The sequence below is a fragment of the Homo sapiens genome, chromosome 1 (genome assembly GCF_000001405.40).
Source record: "Homo sapiens chromosome 1, GRCh38.p14 Primary Assembly".
Lineage (NCBI taxonomy): Eukaryota > Metazoa > Chordata > Mammalia > Primates > Hominidae > Homo > Homo sapiens.
The window spans coordinates 115981831-116007680 of record NC_000001.11 but is presented as its reverse complement, the minus strand read 5'-3'; the positions used below and the strand labels follow the sequence as shown (position 1 = coordinate 116007680).

The window sequence follows — 25850 nt, the reverse complement described above, 5'->3', positions numbered from 1 at the left end:
ACATAGCATCTATGGAAGGCCTCTGGCAGAGAGACTCCCATCCCAGAGTGCATTTTTAAAAAGTGGTTAGCTGCCTCTTCCCTCTCTCCTATACCTACCAGACCTTATATAAACTTATCTTCTTACCCACAAACTCAGTGCAAAGTATGGAATGATCTTGTCACAGCTGAGGATCCCATGGAGGTTGTGGAGTTCTGTCCTGTTGTGTGGGTCAGTGATGCCAACTGTACTCCTCCAACAAGTAGGCAGGCCACAGCCACCCTTGCAAAGCATCATGAACCCACTCAGGCTGAAGCAGCCAGTTCAGCATCTGGAATGCTTAAAAGATAATTGATCCCAAATCATGACCCCAGAGTTCCCAAAGAGCCCTGAGGGAGGGTGGAGGTGCCACGGGGTGGCAGTATGAGGATCTCATCTAACTGTGCAGCAGGGACAGTCCATGCCCTGCTCCCCATGTTGTTCTGGATACATCTTGGAGCACCTGCTGGAGACTGAGGGTCACTATTTGCACAGGTAATTTGTACCTTGAAATAAACCTCTGAGGGTGGATAATTTTTTGACACCCTGGTGGGATGAGGAATATAATGTGTACCTCTATATCATGGGAAGAAAGTACCAAGTATTTAGAAACGTATAATTATCAATAACTATAATCAAGGTGGATAATAACATATACATCCCAGTCTACGCATCTCAGTGGCTACACATGATGGGAATGAGAAAGAGGACAGATGAATAACACAGGAAGAGGGAGGGAGACAGGGTGAGGAAGCGAGGGTGAGAAACAGAAACAGAAAGGCACACAGAGGCAGAAATGATAAAGACAGACAGAGGGAAAGGCAAGACAGAGAGTGAATGCAATGGATACAGAAAGAGAAAGAGAAACAGAAACAGAGAGGTAAATACAGACAGACTGAGATGAAGAGACATGGGAACAAGCAGAAACAGACACAAACAAAATGACAGAGACAAGAAAGAGCAATAAGGACAGAAGGTGGGGAGAAGAGAAGGAAAGGAGGGAGGGAGGGGACACAGAGATACAGATTGACAAAGACAGGTGGCAAGGGAGACAGCGATTCTTAGATGCACCCCAGTGGGCTAAGATTTAGGTAACAGGAAGGAAAAGACGTAGCTACTATCACAGGTGGCAAGGTGAAGGCTGTCTCAGCCCTTAATTCTTTTCCTCTCAGAGCTGCTTTAAAGATCTTCAGCACTTGCCAAGGAAGCCATTTCATTCAATTTCTCCTGTTTCTAACACTCTTTATCTTGAGAGTAGTAGTTCCCTGGGTTCCCTTTAACTAATTCACCCTTCCTTCTGTCTTCCACCTTCAGTCGGGCACTGTTTATTGTGAGATCCTAGAAGTCAGCATAGGAGATACAGTGGGGACCAGGGTGCCTCATCCCTGTTGTCCTGGAGTGCAGGATCTAAGAGCTCTCTCTTTATAGCAAGCCTTCTCTAACATAAGGCAGGTAACAATTGCTCAGTGAACACTTGTTAATAATGGTATCCCTCTGGAAATATCTAAAAGGGCTCCTAATTATAGATTAGGATACATACAGTGGGATATTCTACATAAATGTTGCTTAGGTCAAGCTGTCACCCTGGTACCACAAGCATTCTAATCAAGATTGCATTGTCCAGTGGTGGTCAGCTGTCCTTCTCTTCAGAGAGCCCATTCGCCAGCAGGAGCTACTATAAGGGGTTGTCAGAAATGAGTGCTTTGCTTATTCTTGATTAAAATAGCAGCCTATTGACTAGTAATAATGAATACCAAAAGTGGTCTAACACTGTGAAATTGAAGGCATTCAAGATACATGGATTATGTCAATATATTAGGGGTACTCCCCACCCTTGCAGGAATTTGTGAGATAATCCAATGTGTAGGTACTCTACCTACAGGGTTATGCTCTCAGCTAAAACTCCTCCTTGGTCCTGAGCCAACATGGACTCTGGAAGCTTCTTTCTCCCTGATGCTGGCTGAGGAGTGGAGGTTGGGAGTAGGAGTGGTGGTATCAGTACCCTGCCTATGGAAAATTGGAGTTTACCTATAGTGACCTACCATGGAATCAGTGTTCAAAACATCTAGGAGACTAAAGAGCTAGGACTTCTCAAGCCTGCAAGACAGTTTTTTATGTGCTACTTTGATTACAAGAATTTAGTTAATAAATGTATATACTGTATATGTGGCAGAATTTGGTCTGGGATTTGCTTTCATTATAATGTAGTAATAGATTTATTGGAGAGCAGACCTATAGTTCTCACCCATTTCAAAATCCTATGGAGATCAATCCTAAGTAAAACCAGGGCTTTTTGGAGAAATGACTAATTTCATGCTTCAGGGGTGAGAGGTACAAGATGAACTTGGAATATCTTGTTATGCCAAAAATTTCTGATAGGCATATCAGAAATGATAGGCATGTCAAAAGGACACAAGAGGGATCCCACTTCCAAGAAGACTAAGTAGGCATGCTTTTCCTTATTCCTTCCACTAAAGAACAGAAACCAATAAAATTCAAAACAGAAAAACGATAGAGAAAAATCAATCAAACAAAATGCTCATTCTTTAAAAAGATCAGTAATATTGACAAATCTCTATAATGACTGAGAAGTAATTAAATAAGAAAAAAAGACACAAATGCCCAATACCAGGTAATAAAAGAAGGGAAATCATTTCAGACCCTGAAAATATCAAAACAATGATAAGGTAATACTATGAACAATTCTACACACATAGATTTGACAACTTAGATAAAATGGACCAATTCCTGGAAAAGTACAAACAACCACAACTCATCCAATACAAAATAGATCATTTGACAAAATAGCCCCAGAAAATTGAATTCATAATTTTAAAACTCCCCAAAAGGAAATCTACAGGTACAGATAATTTCACTGGAGAATTCTATCAAAGGCTTAAGGAATTAATACCAACTCTACACAATCTCTTCCATAAAATATAAAAGAAGGGAACACTTTCCAATTCATTTTATAAAGCTAGTACTACTTCGATACCAAAACCAAAGATAGTATCAAAAAAGAAAACTACAGAGCAATACTCCTCACAAATATAGAGGCATTAATCCTTATCAAAATGTTAGCAAATAGAAATCAGTAATATATAAAAAGAAGCATGTACCCAAAGATGCAAGGCTGGTTCAATATTTGAAAAACAATCTCTGTAATCCATCATATTACAAGATAAAGAAGAAAAATTACACAGTCATTGCAATTGATGTAGAAAAAGTATTTGACAAAATTCAATATACATTCATAATAAAAATTCTCAAAAATATTGGAATGGGGAGGAGAAAGAGCAAGATGGCCGACTAGAACACTCCAGCAGTCATCCTCCCCACAGGAACACCAAATTGAACAACTATCCACAAAAGAAAGTATTACCAAAACACCAGGGGCTTGCTCTAGGTCCTGCTGCTTGCCACACAGAAAACCAATCACTGAGACAACACGTATTGCCAGGGAAGAAGGCTTTATTGGGTGCTGCAGCCAAAGAGATGGGAGATCAGTCTCAAATCTGTCTCTCTGACCAACTAAAACTGAGGACTTATATAACAAGGAAGTAATAAGCTACATGCAGGAAAACAGGAATTAAGGAGAGGTAAGGAAGCAGTCATGATAAATGAGGGGTCTGGCCTTTCACTGTCTGGATGCAGTGATCTGCTGAGTTTCAGTTCCTTGATAATATCTGGGAGGCCTAAGGTTCAGTTTCCTGAGGAAGGAACTCCAATAAGACAAATATAACTTTCTCTAGTTTTAAGAATAGAAGGGTCAATTTCTATGTTTATTCAAAAGAAACCATAAACATCAGCTCTTTGGGACAATTGGGTGAGTTTCAAAAGGACCTTCTTAAGAACCACAAATCAGGACTGATCACAGTACCTAGTTTTAACATCACATCAAGGAAAGAGGCACCTAAGAGGGTAGGAAAGACAGTCTTGAATTGCTGACACTACCCTTCCCCCAACCCACAGAAATACCACACGGCACAGGAAGAGAGAATCTGTGTGCTTGGGAAGCAGAGAGCACAGTGATAATGGAACTTTGCATTGGAACTCAGTGAGTCCCTTCACACCACAAGCAACACAGGGCAGAATTCAGCTGGTGCCCACAGAAGGAGCATTTAGATGAGCCCTAGCCAGAGAGGAATCGCCCATCCCAGTGGTCAGAACCTGAGTTCTGGCTAGTCCCACCACTGCAAGCTAAAGAGCTCTAGGGTCTTCAATAAACTAGTTCTTGTGGCCTAGACTGCAATTACTGGGCAAGTCCTGGTGCTGGGCTGGGCTCAGAGTCAGTGGACTTGGGATGCACATGATCCAGTGGGACACCAGCTTGGGTAGCCAAGGGAGTGCTTGTACTGCCCCTTCTGCAATCCCAGGCAGCACAGCTCACAGCTCCAGGAAAAGAGGGAAGAGTGAATAAAGAGGGCTTTGTCTTGCAATTTGCATACCAGCTCAGCCACAGTAAAATAAAGCACCAAGCAGAGTCCTAATGCACCCATTCTAGGCCATAACTCCTGGATGACATTTCTAGACCAACCCTGGGCCAGAAGGGAACCTGCTGCCCTGAAAGGAAGGACCCAATCCTGCCAGAATTTACCACCTGCTGGTTAAACAGCCCTTAGACCTTGAATAGAATAAATACCAGTGGTAGCCAGGCAGCAGTCACCATAAGCCTTGGACAAGACCCAGTTTTATGTTGGCTTCAGGTGTGATCCAGCACATTCCCAGCTGTGGTTGCCATGGGGAGAGACTCCTTCGCTAGAAGAAAGGAGAGGGAAGAGTAAAAAGGACTTTATAACTTGGGTACCAGCTCAGCCACAGTAAAATAAAGAACCAAGCCAACTCTTAAAGTCCCTGATTACAGGCCTTGGCTCCTACATGGAATTTCTAAACCCATCCTGGGACAGAAGGGAACCCATTCCCCTGAAAGAAAAGACCCATGCCTGTCAGCTCACCACTTGCTAAGTAAAGAGCTCCTGGGCCTTGAATAAACATCAGTGGTAGCCAGGCAATAGTTACCACAGGCCTGGGGCAGTGTTGGCCATGGGCAAAGGCTCCTTCTGCTTGAGGAAAGGAGAGGGAAAAGTAAAGGGGACTTTGTCTTGCAATCTCGGTACCAGCTCAGCCCCAGTAAAATAAAGCATGAAGCAGATTTTTAAAGCCCCTGATCTCAGGCCCTACTGCCTGGATGGCATTTCCAGACCCACCCTGGTCCAGAAGGGAACCTGCTGCTCTTATGGGAAAAGATCAAGTCCTAGTAGGAGTAATCACCCACTGACTAAAGAGCCTTTGGGCCTTGAATAAACATCAGCAATAGCCAGGAAATAGTTGTCACAGGCCTTGGGCAGGACCTGGTACTATGCCAACTTCATGTGTGACCCAGTACAGTCCCAGTGGTAGTGACCAAAAGAGTGCTTATGTCATCCTTCCCCTAACTCCAGGGAGCTCAGCATGGAGAGAGATGCTGTTTGTTTGGAAAACAGTAAGGGAAGAGAACAAGAGGCTCTGCCTGGTAATCCAGGAAATTCTCCCAGATCTTAACCAAGACCACCATTGTATCTCTACGAGTTTGTAAGAGTCACAGTGCTACTAGGCTTGAGGTGCTATCTCATGCACTTATGGCTGCAGTGACCAAAAACTTAGATCATAACACTCAATTAGTTTTGAATATTTTGAAAGCCTTCTCAAGAAAGACAAGTACAAACAAGCCCAGACTGCAAAGATTAGAATAAGTACCTAACTCTTCAATGTTCAGGCATTGACGAACATCCACAGGCATCGAGACCATTCAGGAAGACATGATCTCATCAAACAAACTAAATAAGGCACCAGTGACCAATTCTGGAGTGACAGAGATATGTGACCTTTCAGAGAGAATTCAAAATAGATGTTTTGAGAAAGCTCAGTGAAATCCAAGATAACTCAGAGAAGGAATTCAGAATCCTGTCAGATAAATTTAACAAGGAGATTGAAATAAAAGGAATCAAGCAGAAATTCTGGAGCTGAAAAATTTGACTGACAAAATGAAGAACGCACCAGAATCTCTCAAGAGCAGAACTGATCAAGCAGAAGAAAGAATTAATGAGCGCTTAAAGACAGGCTATTGAAAATACACAGAGGAATCAAAAGAAAAAAGAATAAAAAATAATAAAGCATGCCTACAGGATCTAGAAAACAGTTTCAAAAGAGCAAATACAGAGTTATTTCCCTTAAAGAGGAAGAAGAGAAAGACATCAGGACAGAAAGTTTATTCAAAGAGATAATAACAGAACTTTCCATACCTAGAGAGAAAGATATCAATAGTAAAGTACAAGAAGGTTATAGAACACCAAGCACATTTAACTCAAATAAGACTACTTCAAGACATTTAATAATCAAACTCTCAAAGGTCAAGGATAAAGAAATGGTTCTAAAAGCAGCAAGAGAAAAGAAAAAAAAATTACATATAAAGGAGCTCCAATATGTCTGATAGCAAATTTCTCAGTGGAAACCTAACAGATCAGGAGAGAAAGATATGATATATTTAAACTACTGAAGGAAAAAGACTTTTATCCTAGACTAGTATATCCAGTAAAAGTATCCTTGAAACATAAAAGAGAAATAAAGACATTCTCAGACAAAAGCTGAGGGATTTTGTCAACACCAGACCTGTCCTACAAGAAATGCTAAAGAGAGTTCTTCAATCTGAAAAAAAAGGACATTAATGAGCAATAAGAAATTACAGGAAGGTCGGCCGGGCATGGTGGCTCACGCCTGTAATCCCAGCACTTTGGGAGGCCAAGGCAGGCAGATCATGAGGTCAGGAGATCAAGACCATCCTGGCTAACACAGTGAAACCCCGTCTCTACTAAAAAAATACAAAAAATTAGCTGGGCATGGTGGCGGGTGCCTGCAGTCCCAGCTACTCGGGAGCCTGAGGCAGGAGAATCGAAGGAACCTGGAAGGCAGAGTTTGCAGTGAGCCGGGATCAAGCCACTGCACTCCAGCCTGGGCGACAGAGTGAGACTCCATCTCAAAAAAAAAAAAAAAAAAAAAAAGGAAAAAAAAGAAATTACATGAAGATACAAAACTCACTAGTTATAGTTAAGTACACAGACAAATACAGAATATTATAACATTGTAATTGTCGTGTATAAACTATGCATATCTTGAATAGGAAGACTAAGAGACGAACCAATCAAAAATAATAATTAGAACAACTTTGTAAGAAATAGACAGTATAAGAAGTTATAAATAGAAACAACAAAAAGTTAAAAAGCAAGGGGATGAAGCTAAAGTGTAGACTTTTTATTAGTTTTCTCTTTGTTTGCTTGTTTTTGCAGAGTTAAATTGTCATCAGTTTAGAATAATGGGTTATAAGATGTCATTTGTAAGCTTCATGGTAACATAAAATAACAAAACCTACAACAGATACACGAAAAATTTCAGCAAGAAATTAAAATATACCACCAGAGAAAATCATTTTCACAAAAAAGAAAAAAGGAAGAGAAAACCACAAAACAACCAGAAAACAAATAACAAAAGGGCAGTAGTAAGTCCTTAATTATCAACAATAACATTGAATGTAAATGGACTAAACTCCAATCGAAAGATACAGAATGGCTGAATGGATAAAAAAACCAAGACCCAATGATCTGTTGCCTATAAGAAACACACTTCACCTATAAAGATACACATAGACTGAAAATAAAGGGATGGAAAAAGATATTCCATGCCAACGGAAACCAAAAAAGGGCAGGAATAGCTATATGTATATCAGACAAAATAGATTTCAAGACAAAAATTTTAAAAAGAGACAAGATAATTATATAATAATAAAGGGGTCAATTCAGCAAGTGGATATAAGAATTAAGAATATAGGCCAGATGTGATGGTACATGCCTGTAATCCTAGCACTTTGCGGGGTGGAGGCAGGCAGACTGCCTGAGCTCAAGAGTTCAAGACCAGCCTGGGCAACCCCATGAAACACCATCACTACTAAAATACAGAAAATTAGCTGGGCATGGTAGCACACACCTTTAGTCCCAGCTACTCGGGAGGCTGAGGCATGAGAATGAATTGAACCCAGGAGGTGGAGGTTGCAGTAAGCTGAGATCATGCCACTGCACTCCAGCCTGGGTGACAGAGCAAGACTCTGTCTCCAGAAAAAAAAAAAAAAAAGAACAAAAATATATATGCACCCAACACTGGAGCACCCAAATATATGAAGTAAATATTATTAGGACTAAAAAGAGAGATAAACCCCAATACAATAGTTGCTGGAGACTTCAGCACATCACTTTCAGCACTAGATAGGTCATCCAGGGAGAAAAATCAACAAACATTAGACTTAATCTTCACTATAGACCAAATGGACCTGCATTATAGATCAAATAAATATTTACAAAACATTTCATCCAATAGCTGCAGAATATGCATTCTTCCATTCTTCTCCTCAGCAAATGGATCATGCTGAAAGATAGACCACATGTTAGCCACAAAACAAGTCTTAAAAATTTCAAAAATATTAAAATCATTTCAAATATCTTCTCCAATCACAATGGAACAAAACTAGAAATCAGTAACTAGTGGAACTTTGAAAACGATACAAACACAAGGAAATGAAACAATATGCTTCTGAATGACCAGTGGGTCAAAGAAGAAATTAAGAAGAAAATTTAAAAATTCCTTGAAACAAATGAAAATAGAAATACAATATACCAAAATCCATGGAATACAGCAGTAATAAGAGGAGAGTTTACTGCAATAAGCATCTACATCAAAACAGTAGAAAAACTTCAAATAAATAACCTAATGATGCAGATTAAAGAATTAGAAAGCAAGAGCAAACCAAACCCAAAATTAGTAGAAGAAAAGAAATAATAAAGATGAGAGAAGAAATAAATGAAATTGAAATTTTAAAAAAGTACACAAGATCAACAAAATGAAAAGTTGTTTTTTTGAAAAGATAAAACCAATAAACCTTTAGCTAAACTAAGAAAAAAAGAGAGAAGACCCAAATAAATAAAATCAGAGATGAAAAAGGGGACATTAAAACTGACACAACAGAAATTCAAAGGATCATTACAGGCTACTATGAGCAACTATATGCCAATAAGTTGGAAAACCTAGAAGAAATGCATAAATTCCTAGACACATACAACTTTCCAAGATTGAGCCATGAAGAACTCCAAAGCCTAAATAGATCAATAACAAGTAACCAGATCAAAGACATAATAAAAAGTCTCCCAGAAAAGAAATGCCAGAGACCCATTGGCTTTACTGCTGAATTCTACCAAACATTTAAAGAAGAACTAATACCAATCCTACTCAAAGTACTCCAAAAAATAGAGGAAGAGAGCTGATTCTACTTCCAAAATGATCCTTCGAGGCCAGTATTACCCTGACACCAAAACCAGACAAAGACACACCAAAAAAAAGAAAACCTAGAGGCCAATACATCTGATGAATATTGATGCAAAAATTCTCAACAAAATACTAGCAAACCAAATTCAACAATACATTAAAAGGTCATCCATCATGAGCAAGTGGGATTCATCCCAGGAATGCAAGGATGGTTCAACATATGTAAATTGATGTGATACATCATATCAACAGAATGAAGAACAAAAACCATACAATCATTTCAATTCATGCTGAAAAAGCATTTGATAAAATTCAACATCCTTCATAAAAATCTGCAAAAAAACTGGGTATAGAAGGAACATGCCTCAACATAATAAAAGCCATATATGACAGACTCACAGCTAGTATCACACTGGACACAGAAAACAAAGTCTTTCCTCTAAGATCTAGAACAAGACAAGGATGTCTATTTTCACCCCATTTTTCAACTTAGTACTGTTAGTCCTAGCTACAGCAATCAGACAAGAGAAAGAAATAAAGAGTATCCAAATTGGAAAGGAAGAAGTCAAATTACCCTTGTTTGCAGATGATATGATCTGAAAAAAAACTAAAGACTCCATCAAAAAATTATTAGAATAGAAACAAATTCAGTAAACTTGCAGGATACAAAATGAACATATAAAATCAGGGGCATTTCTATATGCTAATAGTGAACAATCTGAAAGAGAAATCAAGAAAGTAATCCCATTTACAAAAGCTACAAATAAAATAAAATACTAAAAAATAAACCTCGCTAAAGAAGTGAAAGATCTCCAAAGTGAAAGCTATAAAATATTGATGCAAGAAATTGAAAAGGACACAAAAAAATGGCAAGATATTTCATGTTAATGGATTGGAAGAATCAATATTGTTAAAATGTCCATTCTACCCAAAGCAATCTACAGATTCAATGCTATCTCTATCAAAATACTGATGACACCTTCACAGAAACAGAAAAAAATCATTCTAAAATTTATATGGAACCACCAAAGACCCAGAATAGCCAAAGCCATCCTGAGCAACAACAACAACAACAACAACAAAACTGGAGCAATCACATTATTTGACTTCAAATTATGCTACAGAGCTATAGTAACCAAAGCAGCATGGTATTGGCATAAAAAATGTTGGAATTATGGGAGGCTTCCTCGATTTGATAAAGAGTATCTATAAAAACCTATAGCTAAAACTGCACTTAATGGTGAAAGACGGAGTGTATCCCTTCTAAGATCAGAATCAAGGCAAGGATGTCCACTCTTACCATTTTATTCAGCACAGTGCTAGACATGCTAGCCAGAGGAATAAGGTAAAACAAAAGGCATACAGATTGGAAATGGAAAAAAAAAAACTGTCCTTACTTTTTATATGACTGTCAAGAAAATCCCAAAGAATCGTCAAAAAGCACCTAGAATTAATAAGCGACAACTTAGATGAAATGGACTAACTCCTTGAAAAGCACAAGCTACACAACTCATACAATACAAAATATATCATTTGAATCACGCTATAACTATTAAAGAAATTAAATTCATAATTTTAAAATTTCCCAAAAGAAATAATACAAGATTAAGATCAAAGGATACAAGATTAACATATAAAAATGAATTGTACAATATTTATCTATACTAGCAATAAACATGTAGAAACAGAAATTTAAAATACAGTACCATTTATAATCCCTCAAAAAAAAAAAAGAAAAAGAAATATTTAGATGTGAATCTAATGAATGAATCTAAAACCTAATGAATCTAAAAACATGTTCAGGGTTTGCATAGTAAAGATATGAAACATTGATGAAAGAAATCAAAGACACTCAAAATAACACATAGTGTTGATGTATTGGAAGACTCAGCATAGTAAAGACGTTGATTCTCCCCAAATTGATATGCAGGTTTAACACAACTTCTATCAAAATCTCATAAATATTTTTCGGTAGATATATACAAAATTATTCTAAAACTTATATGGAAAGGCAAAGGAACTGAAATAGCTAAAATACTTTTGAAAAAGAATAAAGCGGCAATCTATCCCATTCCAAATCTGCTTATATAACTACAGTAATAAAACTAAGCCTAGATGAATCTGCAGATAATTATGCTGAATAAAAAAAGCCAATCTCAAAAGGCTTCTACAATATGATTCCATTTTTACAACATCCTTAAAATGAAAGACTCATAGTATAAGAAGGCAGATCAGTGGTTACTAGCGATTAAGAAAAGGGTAAGGGATGGGAGGAAAGTGGGTGTGGCTCTAAAAGGCCAACATGAAGGATCCTTGTGGTGATGGAAATGTTTTGTGTCTTAGCAGTGTCAGTGTTAATATCTCAGTTATGATATTATACTATGGTTTTCCCCATTGGAAGAAACTAGGTAAAGAGTACACAAAATTTCTCTGTATTATTTCTTGCAACTGCATGCAAATCCACAATTATTTCAAAATAAAAATTTTAATTAAAAATAAAAGGACACAAGAGGCAGCTTGAAGAGGTTCCCACTGGTAAATTAGGAAAAATTTGAGTTCCAAAATAATTCAGAGCTGTAATAAATTACAAATCATTGAAAAGAATAGGAATCCAAGATTATGTACATATGGTTGATAAATATATAGGCAAATAGGCAGACAGAGACAGACAGACAGACAAGGGAGAGAAAGGGCTCTTGTTTACAGTAGAAAGTATGCAAGCTAGTAAATGTGATGGAAGTGCTGGAGTTAAGAAATAACCATTTTGGGCTGGGCACAGTAGCTCACACCTATAATCCCAGCACTTTGGGAGGCTAAGGAGGGGAGATCACCTGCGGTCAGGAGTTCGAGACCAGCCTGGCCAACATGGTGAAACCCTGTCTCTATTAAAATACAAAAATTAGTGGGCATTGGTTGCAGGTGCCTGTAATCCCAGCTACTTGGGAGGGTGAGGCAGAAGAATTGCTTGAACATAGGAGGCAAAGGTTGCAGTGATAAGAAATAGCAAATTTATATAACCTGAAAGGGATTCCCCATAGTTTTCTATTCCTCGAAATGAAAGAAAGATAGTAACTGACAGGGACAGGGGAGAATATCAGACAATACCTGGAATGGCTAATCAAAATTAACATCACCACTAAGGGCAGATGGATATAGTGTGTCTTTTGATATGATACCCTGAGAGGGATACATTATTTATGTACTATTCTGACTTGGGATGCAAAACCAAACCGAATGAGGAATCATCAGACAGATCCAAAATGAAGAACATTCTTATTTTGAAAAAGAGAAAAGGTATAGATGCTTAAAAATATCAATGTTATAAAAGAAAAAAAAAGGCTGAAGGTCAAAAGATACTAAAGAACTATGACAACTAAATGTCATGTGTGATCCTGAATTGGATTCAATACATGAGAGGAAAATACAATGCTATCAAGGATGTTATTGGGTTAAGTGACAAAATTAGGTATGGATGGCATACAACTAGGTATAGTTTAAATAAAACTATAGTATCAATGTTGAATTTCTTGACATTGATAACTGTGGTGTGGTTATGAAGAGAACATCCTTGTTTTTAGTAAATACACGCTGAAGTATCTGGGCATAAAAGAGCACTAATATATGCAACTTTCAAATGGCTTAGGAAAAAACAGAGAGACAATAATAATGCTAATGAGGCAAACTAGTAACAATAGATGAAACTAAAAGAGATAAGGGGATTCTTTGTACTATTCTCGCAATTTCTTTCATTTGAAATTATTTCCAAATAAAAAAGGTTTTAAAAAGTATTTGGCTATAATTACTCACCAAAAAGAACCTAAGAGATATATATGCCAATTTGGATTGGATATATTCCTAAAAAGCACAATAATTAAGAGCACAGGCTTCTGAGTTAAGACAAATTTAGCTTCAAATCTCAGCTCTGCCATTATTAGCTAACACTGACCTCAAGGGGTCTCCATTTTTTAAATCTGTAAAATGGGGGAAATGATTCCTACCTCATAGAATTACTTTGATAATTAAATTTTACATATATCACAATCCCTGGCATATCATAATCATTAAACAAAGCTGTTTGTTATTTTCATAGGTTAGGAGTGGTAGCAATGGTGGTGGTAGTGGTGGTGGTGGTGGTGGTGGGGCTGGTGGTTGCTATAGGCCACGGAAATACAAAGATGACCAAAACATGGTTTCTGACCTCAAAGAACTTTTAGAGCTGAACCACAAACAACAGTCTGTAACATACGTGCAAATAAATTAGTACTGGAACAGGAACAAAAGCGTATTTTCTCCTGGGGAGTTGGCTGGGAAGACTCACGGGGAAGGTGACACTGAAAGTGAGCCTTAGAGGGTAGATAAGGATTTCACCAGGTGGAAGCCAGGGCAAGCGGTGAGGGCTTTCCTGACAATAATAGGTTATGCTGAGAGCTTGGGTCATGTGTGGGAAATAGTAAATATTTCCATAGGGGTGAGAGCAGGGTAAAGTGCAGAGTGGGGCTGGAAAAGTACACCTGGACCAAGCTACGAAGTGTGAGAGGTCCTGAATGTAACTCATAGGGTCTCTACTGTGTTCTGTGTGCTGTGGGAGAATCATTGGAGGTTTCTAAGTGAAGAGTAACGTCAGGAATTGCAATCAGAAATGCTGCTTTGGTGGTCCCTCAAAAAGTTAGTATAGTAACTTTTAGGAGTGGGGCACTCCACGGAGGACTCCTAAGAAAAGGCCAAGAAAACATCATCCTTGGCATGTCTCCCCTTTTTTTAGTATGCCTCATCCAAAGCAGGATTATCAAAATAGTCAGCAACAGGTAAGGCTGGCTAGGCCATGGTGCAGACATATATACAGACAGACAGACAGACAGACACACACACACACACACACACACACACACTCTCACACACTCACACACACAGGAGAGTGGCTTCCAGGAAGGAGTGGTTAAGGAATTTTGGGAGAGCTAACTAGCATGGCAACCAGAAGTGAGAGCTGGCAAGGGTCCCAGAGGCCCCCTGTTGTACCACCCATTTACCCCATTAACTGGATCACAGGGTCCAAGGATGGGGCCAGGGTGTCAACAGTGTCAACAGACACATGGGTAGCTTCAGAGGAGCAGGCAAAGGAAAGGAGAGTATTTCTACATTTTAACAACCAACACCAGTGCCTTCCAGCTGACCATGAGATCTGCCCCCATCCAGGGTTTCTCTTCACCAGACCATCTACCCTCAGATTCTTTACCTCTGGCTGGCTCAGAAGGACCAGAAACTTCTCTCTGGCCAGCAAAGCCCCCTTGAAAGTAAGGCTTCCTGACCATACTAAGTGGTACTGTCTTTTACATTGTATAGTCAAGGTGCCCCATATGGTCTACACACAGGACTTGACTTAAAAATGAACTATAGGCCAGGCGCGGTGGCTCATGCCTGTAATCCCAGCACTTTGGGAGGCCGAGGTGGGTGGATCACCTGAGTCAGGAGTCCAAGAGCAGCCTGGTCAACATGGTGAAATCCCGTCTCTATTAAAACTACAAAAAAAAATTAGCCAGGCATGGTGGTGGGTGCCTGTAATCTCAGCTACTCGGGAGGCTGAGGCAGGAAAATTGCTTGAACCCGGGAGGCAGAGGTTGCAGTGAGCCGAGATTGCGCCACTGCACTCCAGCTTGGGCAACAAAGCAAGACTCCGTCTCAAAAAAAAAAAAAAAGAAAAGAAAAAAAGAACTATGGGTGTTATATATGAATCGTTACATTTCCCTGTGTTAATTTTTGCATATTTAATAAAGAGAGATTAAAGTTTTAATTCACTTTTTAAAAGGACATCATAATCAACATACTGTTCTTTTGGAGTTTGTATCTTTTCATCTAACTAGTTTGGAAAGATTCAAGCTTCTCCCACGTGTAGTAAGAGGAAAAGGAATGTGTTCTCATAGAATGTTCTCCTTTGATACATTAAAACCTTTAACTTTTAAATTTACTAGAAAGTTATTTGAAAATGTGGCTGATATTTAAATCAGCAAGACAAAAAGAGTAGCTCTATGTGGACAAAGAGAGACATTTATTTAGTGATTGAAACAGCCTGTTGTTACCTCCGAGGCGATGGAGGTGAAGCTGCTGCTGAAATGCACGTGCTTATGGATCTCACTGCCGTTGGCTGTCAGGAGCCAGTCCCCAAAGGCCTGGTCTTCACCAGCTGACTGGTTACCGTGGCTCTGATTTGGCAGGAGCTCTGCCAGGTCCCAGTGGTAGGATGGCGTGGCCCCAACCAGTGCAATGAGGATGGCCTCCGTGGCCACGTAGAGCTGAAAGAGCAAACACACAGAACCAAACACTGCAGATATTTGCCATCAATGTTGAAGACACTTAGCAGGCTTGCAAACCTTGAAAGATCAGTGTCTTGCTTTTGTATTTTTATGAGCTACAGATATAAGCCACATCAGAAACAAAGGAAAAAAACATGAAAAAGAACCTTTGTGATCTACCACGAACAGAATCATTGGCAATCCCACTTGTAAAACACTTTATACTTTTTCAGAGGTTTTTCTTTCTTTGAGATATTTCTGATGCTAAAGACACTGCTTATATGCTTATATGCTTATATGGTTCAAAAGTAGAAGGGCAGGGAAAACATTATTTGCTCTGATTTAAAAGAGTAACATTCCAGCTATTATCTCTTCAACACTATATCTTCAGGTCAGATAAGCATTCACTAGGGGGCTAGGAGCATCTTGACCTTGGATTCATGATCTAAACAAGAGACTTTCTGTAGTATAATTGTCTCAGAAAACAATATATATTGTATTGTTTTACTAAAGCAGGTAAGCATAATATGTACTAGAGTAGGCACTATTTTAAAATATGATATACAGTTCATAATAAGATTTTAAGAAATTCAAAGTCCCAGCTATAGATATTCATTTTGTAACCCTGAGTTGTACCTAGTCTTGGTTTGATCTAACCATAGTTGTCCCCCTGCAAAGAAAATATACTTCACGCATTCATTCAAGAAATATACTTCACACATTCATTCAAGAAATATTTATTAAACATATATGCCATTTGTCACTGATTGTTCTGGGCTTTACAGCTACTTGAAATTGGGTTTATAAGTCAAGCCCTATTGCAATCTTTTTGTGCTATGGATTTTTAGTATTAACTCCCATTGTTGGACGATTATTTCAAGTTTAACATTTATTAAGAAAACACATAATTAGTCTGCTCCAGAGTAAGACAATCTAAATAAACTATCCCTATTAACTTAGAACTTGATGTCTTAAAATACCTTTAATCATCGCTCCTGCAGTCCCAGCACTTTGGGAGGCCGAGGCAGGTGGATCACTTGAGGTCAGGAGTTTGAGACCAGCCTGGCCAACATGGTGAAACCCCATCTCTACCAAAAATACACAAATTTTCCGGGTGTGGTGGTGGGCACCTGTAATTCCAGCTACTCGGGAGGCTCAGACAGGAGAATCGCTTGAACCCAGCAGGTGGAAGTTGCGGTGAGCTGAGATCACGCCACTGCACTCCAGCCTGGGTGACAGAGCAAGACTCCGTATCAAAAAACAAAAAACAAAAAAACAGATGTGATGTTTCCATTCTGGGTAAGGCTGAGAGGATCTAAGGCATTCTCAATCTACTTTGAGTCCATCAATGGTGGGCCTCTCTGGAGAGGTACAAAGCTGCCATGGGTCAGGATGCTGGGTGATTTATTATACAGGGCAAGGGAAAGTAAGCTCCTAGACTTATATGTTTCCTGGCTCCTATTTGCATACTGTTACAGAAGTTTTCGAATAGGAGGTAATCAGCTTATAAAAATAAAAACCTTACTAATTATAAGAACAGATAGATTACACATTTAGCAGCAGCTATAATTACAAAGCCACTTACACCCATTTAGTAACTGCCCCTGATTATTATACTCTGCTGAAATTTAATTGATGGGTATAAAGCAATGAAAAACATGGGGCAAGGGAACTCGGGAGGAGAGGACTCGAAACACACGTTCTAGTGAATGCACAGCCTTCAATTAGGCAAAGCAAACTCGTCATGTTTTCTAAATGTACCCTTTCCTACCTTTATTCATACCATTCGCTTCGCCTGGAAGGCACTTTCTCCTGCTGCAAATGTTTGAGCTTTCCCCATCCTCCAAGACGCAACACAGATATCACCTCCTCCATGAAGACTTCCTTACTGTCTTGCTTGTGTCTCCAAGCCCTCCAGAAGTCCTCTCCTGTTTCTTGCTGCTCACTCCTAAAGCTCCATCTAGACTTTTGAGAGCATGAACCATTTCCTTCACTGTATTATATTTATGTATTTGCTTATTTTATTTTGTTCTATTGAAATATACTCTCCTTAAAGGCAGGATCTAAGTCTGATTCACCTTTGAGCTTCCAAAGCAAATAACCCAGGGCCTACACACTCAACATGTGAATGAATAAATGACCAGGATGGAATACCAATAATAGCACATGCCTTTATAATGCTAACTATGTGCGAGGCACTATTCAAAGTTTCTTTTGAATATATGTTAACATATCATTTTTTTTTTTTTGAGACTGAGTTTCACTCTTGTCACCCAGGCTGGAGTACAATGGTGCGATCTTGGCTCACTGCAACCTCTGCCTCCCGGATTCAAGCAATTCTCATGCCTCGGCCTCCCGAGTAGCTGGGATTACAGGTACCTGCCAATGCATCCAGCTAATTTTTGTATTTTTAGTAGAGACGAGGTTTCACCATGTTGGCCAGGCTGGTCTTGAACTCCTGATCTCCAGTGATCCACCTGCCTCGGCCTCCCAAAATGCTGGGATTACAGGCATGAGCCACTGTGCCTGGCCAACATATCATATTTTTATCTGGATTGTTCTAGGATAAGCAACCTTACAGATAAAAGAAGAAATGCTCCAAAGGGTCCTCTAATCTGAGGCATGGTCCATTATGAAGGACACCATTCTCAATAAAGCCAGTTTGGAGAAAACAACTCAAAAATAAAGTGATGTTGCTATATACCCTTATTCATAATGTAGGGAATAGTGAAATCTACCTAATCAGTATTATCTGTATTAATCAGTATTAACCAGTTTTCTTTCTAGCAACCTGCAGGCAGAATAAGCACTTTCCACTTTTCTCATCTTCTCTGTTCTCCTCCCACTCTTCACAATGTCTTCCTCACCCACCTCCTGCACATGCACACACACCCACACAAACACACACACACACACACATCCAAGGCCCTCACAGAACACACAGGTCCACAGCTTTATGCCACCAGAAGAGTCAGAAACTTGCAACTCTTCTATGCAGTGCCAGCCTCAATAAAACGGTGTTAGCCTTTTTGTCTCCTCCAATACCCATAGTCATGCTTACTTTTGCTAACCATAAGGGAGCCAGAAGAGGCAAGCAGTAATGATACTGTTTCATAAATGCTATGAAAGGGGTACTATGAGAAATTAGCTCAGAGAGGCAATGCTTAAACACTGCATTCAGATTAATACTAGGTCCTCAGCCCGGTGCAGTGGCTCACACCTGTAATCCCAGGACTTTGGGAGGCCAAGGTGGGTGGATCATTTGAGGTCAGGAGTTCAAGACCAGCCTGACCAACATGGTGAAACCCTGTCTCTACTAAAAATACAAAAAAAAAAAAAAAAATTAGCTGGGCATGGTGGCACATGCCTGTAATCCCAGCTACTTGGGAGGCTGAGGCAGAAGAACTGCTTGAACCCAGGAGACGGAGGTTGCAACGAGCTGAGATTGCACCACTGCACTCCAGCCTGGGTGACAGAGAGAGTCCCCCCCCAAAAAATAGATCCTCTATTCTGCAGTCACTTACACAAGGGTCATATGGTCATAGAAAGTCAAAGATGGCTTAGCATTAACTAGCCATGGGGAAGAATCACCTACACATAGAATATGGGGGTGGTTCTCTTTGGTTTGCTATCTTTGGCTGTGACAAATTCACACAGCTCACATAGTATTCCTTTCCCCCCCAAAAAACAAAAATATTCGCTCGTTCTTCTCTCCACTGTTATCTACAACTACCATGCACACATTCACCCACATATTTTTGCCTAATAAAATTGCACCCATCAGCAGATGGGCCTTAAAGCCACAAACAGCAACCACTATCCATTGTCTACCAGAGTGGGAATAACAACATCTCAAATAAATCATTATCTTCTCTAGCTCTACCTCTAGGGAAGGAGAACAAGTGCCACAGATGGCTGGATTTTTTTCCCCCTTTCAATGTAATTATAATTAGAAAAATGACTAAAATGCACTAGGGGATTGAAATTTTTAAAGTTTCAAGAAGTGAAGGTTTTTAAAGTAATTTCATATTAACACCATTAAGAGCTCTTATAATACTTCTCAGGAAACCAAAAAAGTCTCCTATAAATTATCTCATCACAATACCTTGTGCTGTGAAGTCATGGTTCAGTACAATGTTTATTTTTTTAAGTAGGAAAAATGAGATACAGAACGATTAAGTAAATTGTTCAATGTTATATAAAACACTAATTGCAAAACCAGGATGAGAACGAGAACCACTTAACTTTGGGGCCAGAGCTTTTTTCGGAGAAAATAAAGGGAGGGGAGGAATCAAAGATTATTTTATTGTTGCCATTACCTTTAGTTTTTTTATGCATTTAGTACTCAGTTACCTAATTGACTCAATCAAAAGCATTACATAAGCAAGACCATAATCATGAAGACAGGATTATATGCCCAGTGTCCAGCACAAAGTGGGTATTCAATAAATATTTGTTGGTTGACTTACTAATACTAGCTATTTTTTTTTGTGTAAAATTTGAGACACACTAACACACCCGGAGTAACTGGTGCCTCTAAATACTGTTTCTTCCTCATTTTAATCTATCTACATTGGCTGGACTCATGCCAGTAATCCCAGCACTTTGGGAGGCCGAGGCAGGCAGATCACAAGGTCAGGAGATCGAGACCATCCTGGCTAACACAGAGAAACCCCATCTCTAATAAAAATACAAAAATTAGCTGGGCGTGGTGGCAGGCGCCTGTAGTCCCAGCTGCTGGGGAGGCTGAGGCAGGAGAATGGCGTGAACCCGGGAGGCGGAGCTTGCAGTGAGCCGAGATTGCGCCACTGCACTCCAGCCTGGGTGACAGAGCAAGACTCCGTCTCAAAAAAAAAAAAAAAAAAATCTATCTACATTATGACACCAGATCAATCTCCCTGAAACTCCTCATGAAACTCTTCCAGTCAAAACGTATTAATGGATAAATGATAAGTTTTCTAGCATTCCAGATCCTCCACCACATGGTCCAGGTGCTAACTAATCTGCATTCAAGCTTCCTCTACCAGCCTATTCAATTCCCCTAACATGACTTATTCACTGTGTGGTGTGAAAGCAGTGGAATCTGTTATCCAAGTCTGAACCTCAGCTCTAATTAAACCTTGAGCAAATCCAAACCTCTCTGTTTCGTTTTCTTCCAGTTAAGACCAGACGCTAATGGTACATCTTTATCCAAGTCATTAATATCATATTAACCCATCTTCAGTGTCAAGTGGGATTCCTCCATAGTCAACAGTGAATTGCATAGCACTGTACAAATAGCATATATTAGTGCTTCCCAAATTTAATGTGACTCCCTAAGTCTGGGGTGGGGGTAAGAGTCTGCATTTCCAATAAGCTGCAACAACCAACAACCATACTCTGTGTAGCAAGGGCATAAGTTATTCCCTCTTCCACACTTATTCCAGTTTTATGTTTTTCTACCTGAAATGACCTTCCCATTTCTCCCTAAATCCAAGCTTCAAAGTTCAGCTCAAGCTCAGATATCTCTCTGACGGCTTCAACAAATCACTCTAGACCACACCGTCTCCCTTCTTAATTTCCAAAGCATTAGTTGGCTGTATTATTTACGGGGGAAATATTGCTTTGTATCATTATATAATGTGTAGATAATAGTTCAACTCTAATTTTCAATGATTTGTCACCTCCTGAAGGAAAGAAACCCTAATTTATACTGCTATTTCCCTCTAAAGAACCCAACACACTGCTATATACATAAAAGTCTATCTCATATATATATCAAATATGTATAGTCTATCAAATACATTTTTTAACTAACTCCTTGCATAATGGTATAACCAAAAAAAAAGATGAAAAAAAAACTAGTAACTCTGTTAGCTAATTTTTGCTCCAATCACTAATTAAGACTAGGCCAGGTGTGGTGGCTCATGCCTATAATCCCAGCATTTTAGGGAGCCAAGGCAGGAGGATCACTTGAGTCCAGGAGTTCAAGACCAGCCTGGGCAACATAGTGAGACTCCACCTCGATTTAAAAATAAATTTAAAAAAAATTCTGAACAAAGTATTTAATCGCATCTGTTTCTCTCTCTTTTTTTTTTTTTTTTTTGAGATGGAGTCTCGCTCTGTCACGCAGGCTGGAGTACAGTGGCGCGATCTCAGCTCACTGTAACCTCTGCCTCCCGGGTTCAAGCAATTCTCTGCCTCAGCCTCCCGAGTAGCTGGGATTACAGGCACCCGCCACCACACCCAGCTAATTTTTGTATTTTTAGTAGAGACAGGGTTTCACCATCTTGGCCAGGCTGGTCTTGAACTCCTGACATTGTGATCCACCTGTCTCGGCCTGCCAAAGTGCTGGGATTACAGGCATGAGCCACCGCGCCCGGCCTTCTCTCTCTTTTTCAAGTAAAATGGTAACACCACCAGCTGACCATCCCTTCTTCTTCAATGGTTTAATTTTAAAAAAAAAACAAAATTGTAACAAGCACCAAAACTTTGCAACACATTATATTATGCACCTCAGATGATAAAATGGATAAAAAGTAGTCTTTTCCTTCAAGGCACATGCATTCAAATGAGGACAACAAACAGTCATATGTCATGCATCACTCAACAACTGGGAAACGTTCTGAGAAATGTGTCCTTAGGCGAGTCCATCATTGTGCAAACGTCAGAGTGCACTTACACAAACCTAGATCTATAACCTCCCATACACCTAGGCTATATGGCATAGCCTATTCCTCCTAGGCTACAAATCTGTAAGGCATGTTACTATACTGAATATTGTTGGTAACTACAACACAATGGTGAGTATCTGTATTTCTAAACATACCTAACATAGAAAATATACAATAAAAGATTTTTTAAATGGTACACCTGTAAAGGACACTTACCATGAACGGAGCCTGCGGGACTGGAAGTTGCCCTGCGTGAGTCACTGAATGAGGAGTGAATGGATGTGAAGGCCTAGGACACTACAGTAGACTTTGTAAACAATGTACAGTTAGGCTAAATTTATTTTTTTAATTATTTCTCCAATAATAATTAAACTTACTGTAGCTTTTCTACTTTTTAAACTTAAAATGTTTTAACTCTTTGACTCTTTTGTAGTAACAGAGCTAAAAACACAAACACATTATATAGCTGTACAAAAATATTTTCTTTCTTTATATCCTTATTCTATAAGCTTTTTTCTATTTTTAAAAATTTTTTGAACTTATTTGTTAAAACCTAAGACACACACACATTAGCCTAGACCTACACAGAGTCAGGATCAATACCACTGTCTCTGCCTCCACATCTTGTCCCAATGGAAGGTCTTCAGGAAAACAACATCCTGAAGACATGGAACCCTCATCTCCTATCACACCATGCCTTCTTCTGGACTGTCTCCCGAAGAATCTGCCTGAGGCTGGTTTACAGTTAACTTTTTTTTGCAAGTAGAAGGAGTACACTCTAAAATAACAATTAAAAATATAGCACAGGAAATACTAGGCAATAGGAATTTTTCAGCTCCATTATGATCTTATGGGCCCAGTGTCGCATATGTGATTATTGACAGAAACATTGTTATGTGGGGCATGACTGTATATCCAAAGCTGTAAATACAAGGTGGATTGTGATGAATGCTATATTAGCCATACTGGGAATGAAGTTCATGAGAGCACAAAGAATGGAGATGTGAATTCCACCTAGGAGAATCAGGAAAAGGTTGTTAATATGATACTTGAGCAGGTAGTAAAGGCTGCTAAGGAGTTAATGAAAACAAAACTCAGGAAAAGAAATTATTTGGTAAAGCAATAGCCCAATCAGAGTCAGGAAAGTAAAGAATATATCTTTACATAACTGGGAAGAATTATATGGCTAGCTCAGCTTTTCCCTAACTTCAGTCATCTGAGTACCCCTTGCTAGTTTTCACATGCCCATTTTCTGTCTGCTAGTATTTACTCAATAGTCTTCTTTAAAATCAATTCAAATGTTTTAATTTTAGTAAATTAACATAAAATAGAATTTTATATCAATTCAGACATCACTTGGCAGGTGGAACTACAAAAATATGCACAATGTTAGAATGCCAAGTGTTAGCTAGTATGTTTTTATTTAAGGTGGGCCACAGGAGACATTTTCAGGCTAGATTTGGGAGAGGGGTGAAAGTGAAAGAGCAGCTGTTTTTGCATTTTATGCCCAGGTTGGGGCAGGTGCCTTAGTGCCTCACATAGCTTACCACTTATGTGCTGGTCCACCTCATTGGCGTGGCACAGTCACGAGGCTGCAACCACTCCACCTTCCCATGGATCCTCCTTCAGCTGCTCTGACTCCTTGCCCAGGTACATGTTTAATTCTATGATGAAAGGCAGCCACTTCATCAAGGTTGGAGGCAGGGAGAATGACACAGATTCCAGTCACTTCTGATGGGCTCCAGATCATATCTTCCCTTCTCGACTGCCTGTCCTGCAGACTTCAAGCTCCAACATCACACACGAAGACAACAGCCTTACAGGGCCTGCTGAACGAGCTCCCGCAACAGTATACAGTCAAATCTCCATAATGAATGATGCATCGATTATACATATATAATCTTACATAAACACACATACACACACATGTGCGCGTGCACACACACACACACATCTCCATCCTAGGGGTCCTGCTTCTCCAGTAGAACTATGACTGACACAACATTAAACAAATAAGGCAAAATATCTGCATTTATTAAATCTGGAAGCAAGTACATGTGCGTTTGTCATATTACTCTCTGTATTTTTCCATCAGAAATGTCTCATAATTTTAAAAGAAGTTTTAAAAGAAAATGAATAAATACAATAAAACAGAATAATATTAAGTTCCAACTAGATAATGTTTTCTACTGAAGCTCCTCTAATTCTTTCATGCTAGCTCATTCCCTTTGTTAAAACAGAAATATTTGGAAATGTTTTTAGAAGTGCTAACACCAAATGAGACTTTCTCCTTAGATAAACACAACTAAAGAAGGCTCCAGAAGGGCATAACTCTATCACTTATTAAGAGTTAATGCTATTTAATACAATTTCCATATATCTACCATGCAGGCTATTCTGCAGAGAATGCAGAAAGAGATAGGATTAGAAATAACTGATGGATTACATAGAATCAAAAACAAAAGTGAAAAGATATCCCTAGCAAGAGGGCAGAAACATGTCTTCCTCTTGGACATGTTCCCTAACAGAGAAGGTATTTAAGATAGGTGAGGATGAAAAAAACTTTTGAAGTAAAAGGAAACGATGTTTAGAAAATTTACACCAGCTAACCTCTATTTTATCCATGAAGTTGGGACAAAAAGCATCTAGGTAGAACTATATGAATGGAATCAGGAGAAGTCTGGGCTTGAGAAGACTGATAAACAATCAACTGGCAAGAAGTAAAGGTCAGAACAGAAGAAAGAACCAATACCATGGGCTGCGTGGGTTTGTGAACTTGAAAAAGAGGAAGCATAACATATGCAACACAAGAGAACTGAATAGCAAATTATACTATGGCCATATATTGAAATACCATGCTACAGCCACTAAAAAATATGTAGTTGTTCCTTTACATGCATAGCAACGCATTCACAACATTGCTGAGAGACAAAATGCAGTTATGATACACATTTCTGCAAAAAAGATGGATATACAATATTTATATAATAAAGAGTCTGGAAGGCTATACACCAAAATGTGAGCATGCTTTACTTTAGGGTGGTAGAATCACTAGTGATTTGTATTAATTTCTATATTTTCTCTTTTTTCTACAATCACCATATGCCATTTGTTGAGTACTATATGATGTCCCATGAAGGCAGATATCAATTTGCATGAGTGTTTGGTCAAAGAAGTCAGAGAGGAGAGTCCCGAGCTGTGTGCATCTTTGGATTTGAGAGTCTTTTTCTTCTAAGGCAACCTCTAATTGTGGTTATGAACCAAGCTGGTATTCTGAAACCTAGGGTCAACACTGCCCCAAGGCCAATTAATTGTTGGGCATTGGGAAACTCTGAGAAATCCTAAACTTGCAAAACAAATTAAACTTTCGTGATCCAGCCATTTCCAAGTGCACAGTAGAGACTGATGGGTCATTTGCCTAATAACAATTGCCTAATAATGCCATCTTGCAGCAGAGTAGCACAACATTCAAGCCTAGTGTTCTTTCTGCCATATTCACATTGCCTGTCCTCGTGACTTTAATGACTATTTTTGTGCTATCTTGGAA

At 39.2% G+C, this 25850-nt stretch overlaps 1 protein-coding gene across 23 annotated transcripts in view, besides 1 other annotated feature; it reads right to left on the bottom strand.

Moving 5' to 3' along the window:
- The window catches only part of SLC22A15 (solute carrier family 22 member 15), a 93542-nt gene that overhangs the window by 62374 nt on the left and 5318 nt on the right, over window positions 1–25850 (bottom strand). For 18 of the 23 annotated variants that reach the window (XR_002957027.2, XR_002957032.2, XR_007061934.1 and 15 more), the window contains exon 2: window positions 15438–15650. The exons of 1 other annotated variant lie outside the window; for it this stretch is intronic. Coding sequence is in view for 12 of the 22 variants with exons in the window: in NM_018420.3 (NP_060890.2) it covers window positions 15438–15650 (213 nt within the window). In the remaining 10 variants the exon portion in view is untranslated. Of the gene's footprint in view, window positions 1–126; window positions 4640–4660; window positions 4777–10760; window positions 10808–15437; window positions 15651–23850; window positions 24142–25850 lie in introns of those variants that run through there. 4 more of the 23 variants (XM_047424416.1, XM_047424417.1, XM_047424413.1 and 1 more) reach the window with 4 other exon arrangements.
- Window positions 19001–19162: a silencer, noted in NCBI's record as "fragment chr1:116531140-116531301 (GRCh37/hg19 assembly coordinates)". NCBI's record gives its function as "represses an EF-1alpha promoter that drives an FKBP-Casp9 reporter gene in an ReSE screen in K562 erythroleukemia cells {active_cell/tissue: K562}" and the evidence as "EXISTENCE:reporter gene assay evidence [ECO:0000049][PMID:32094911]".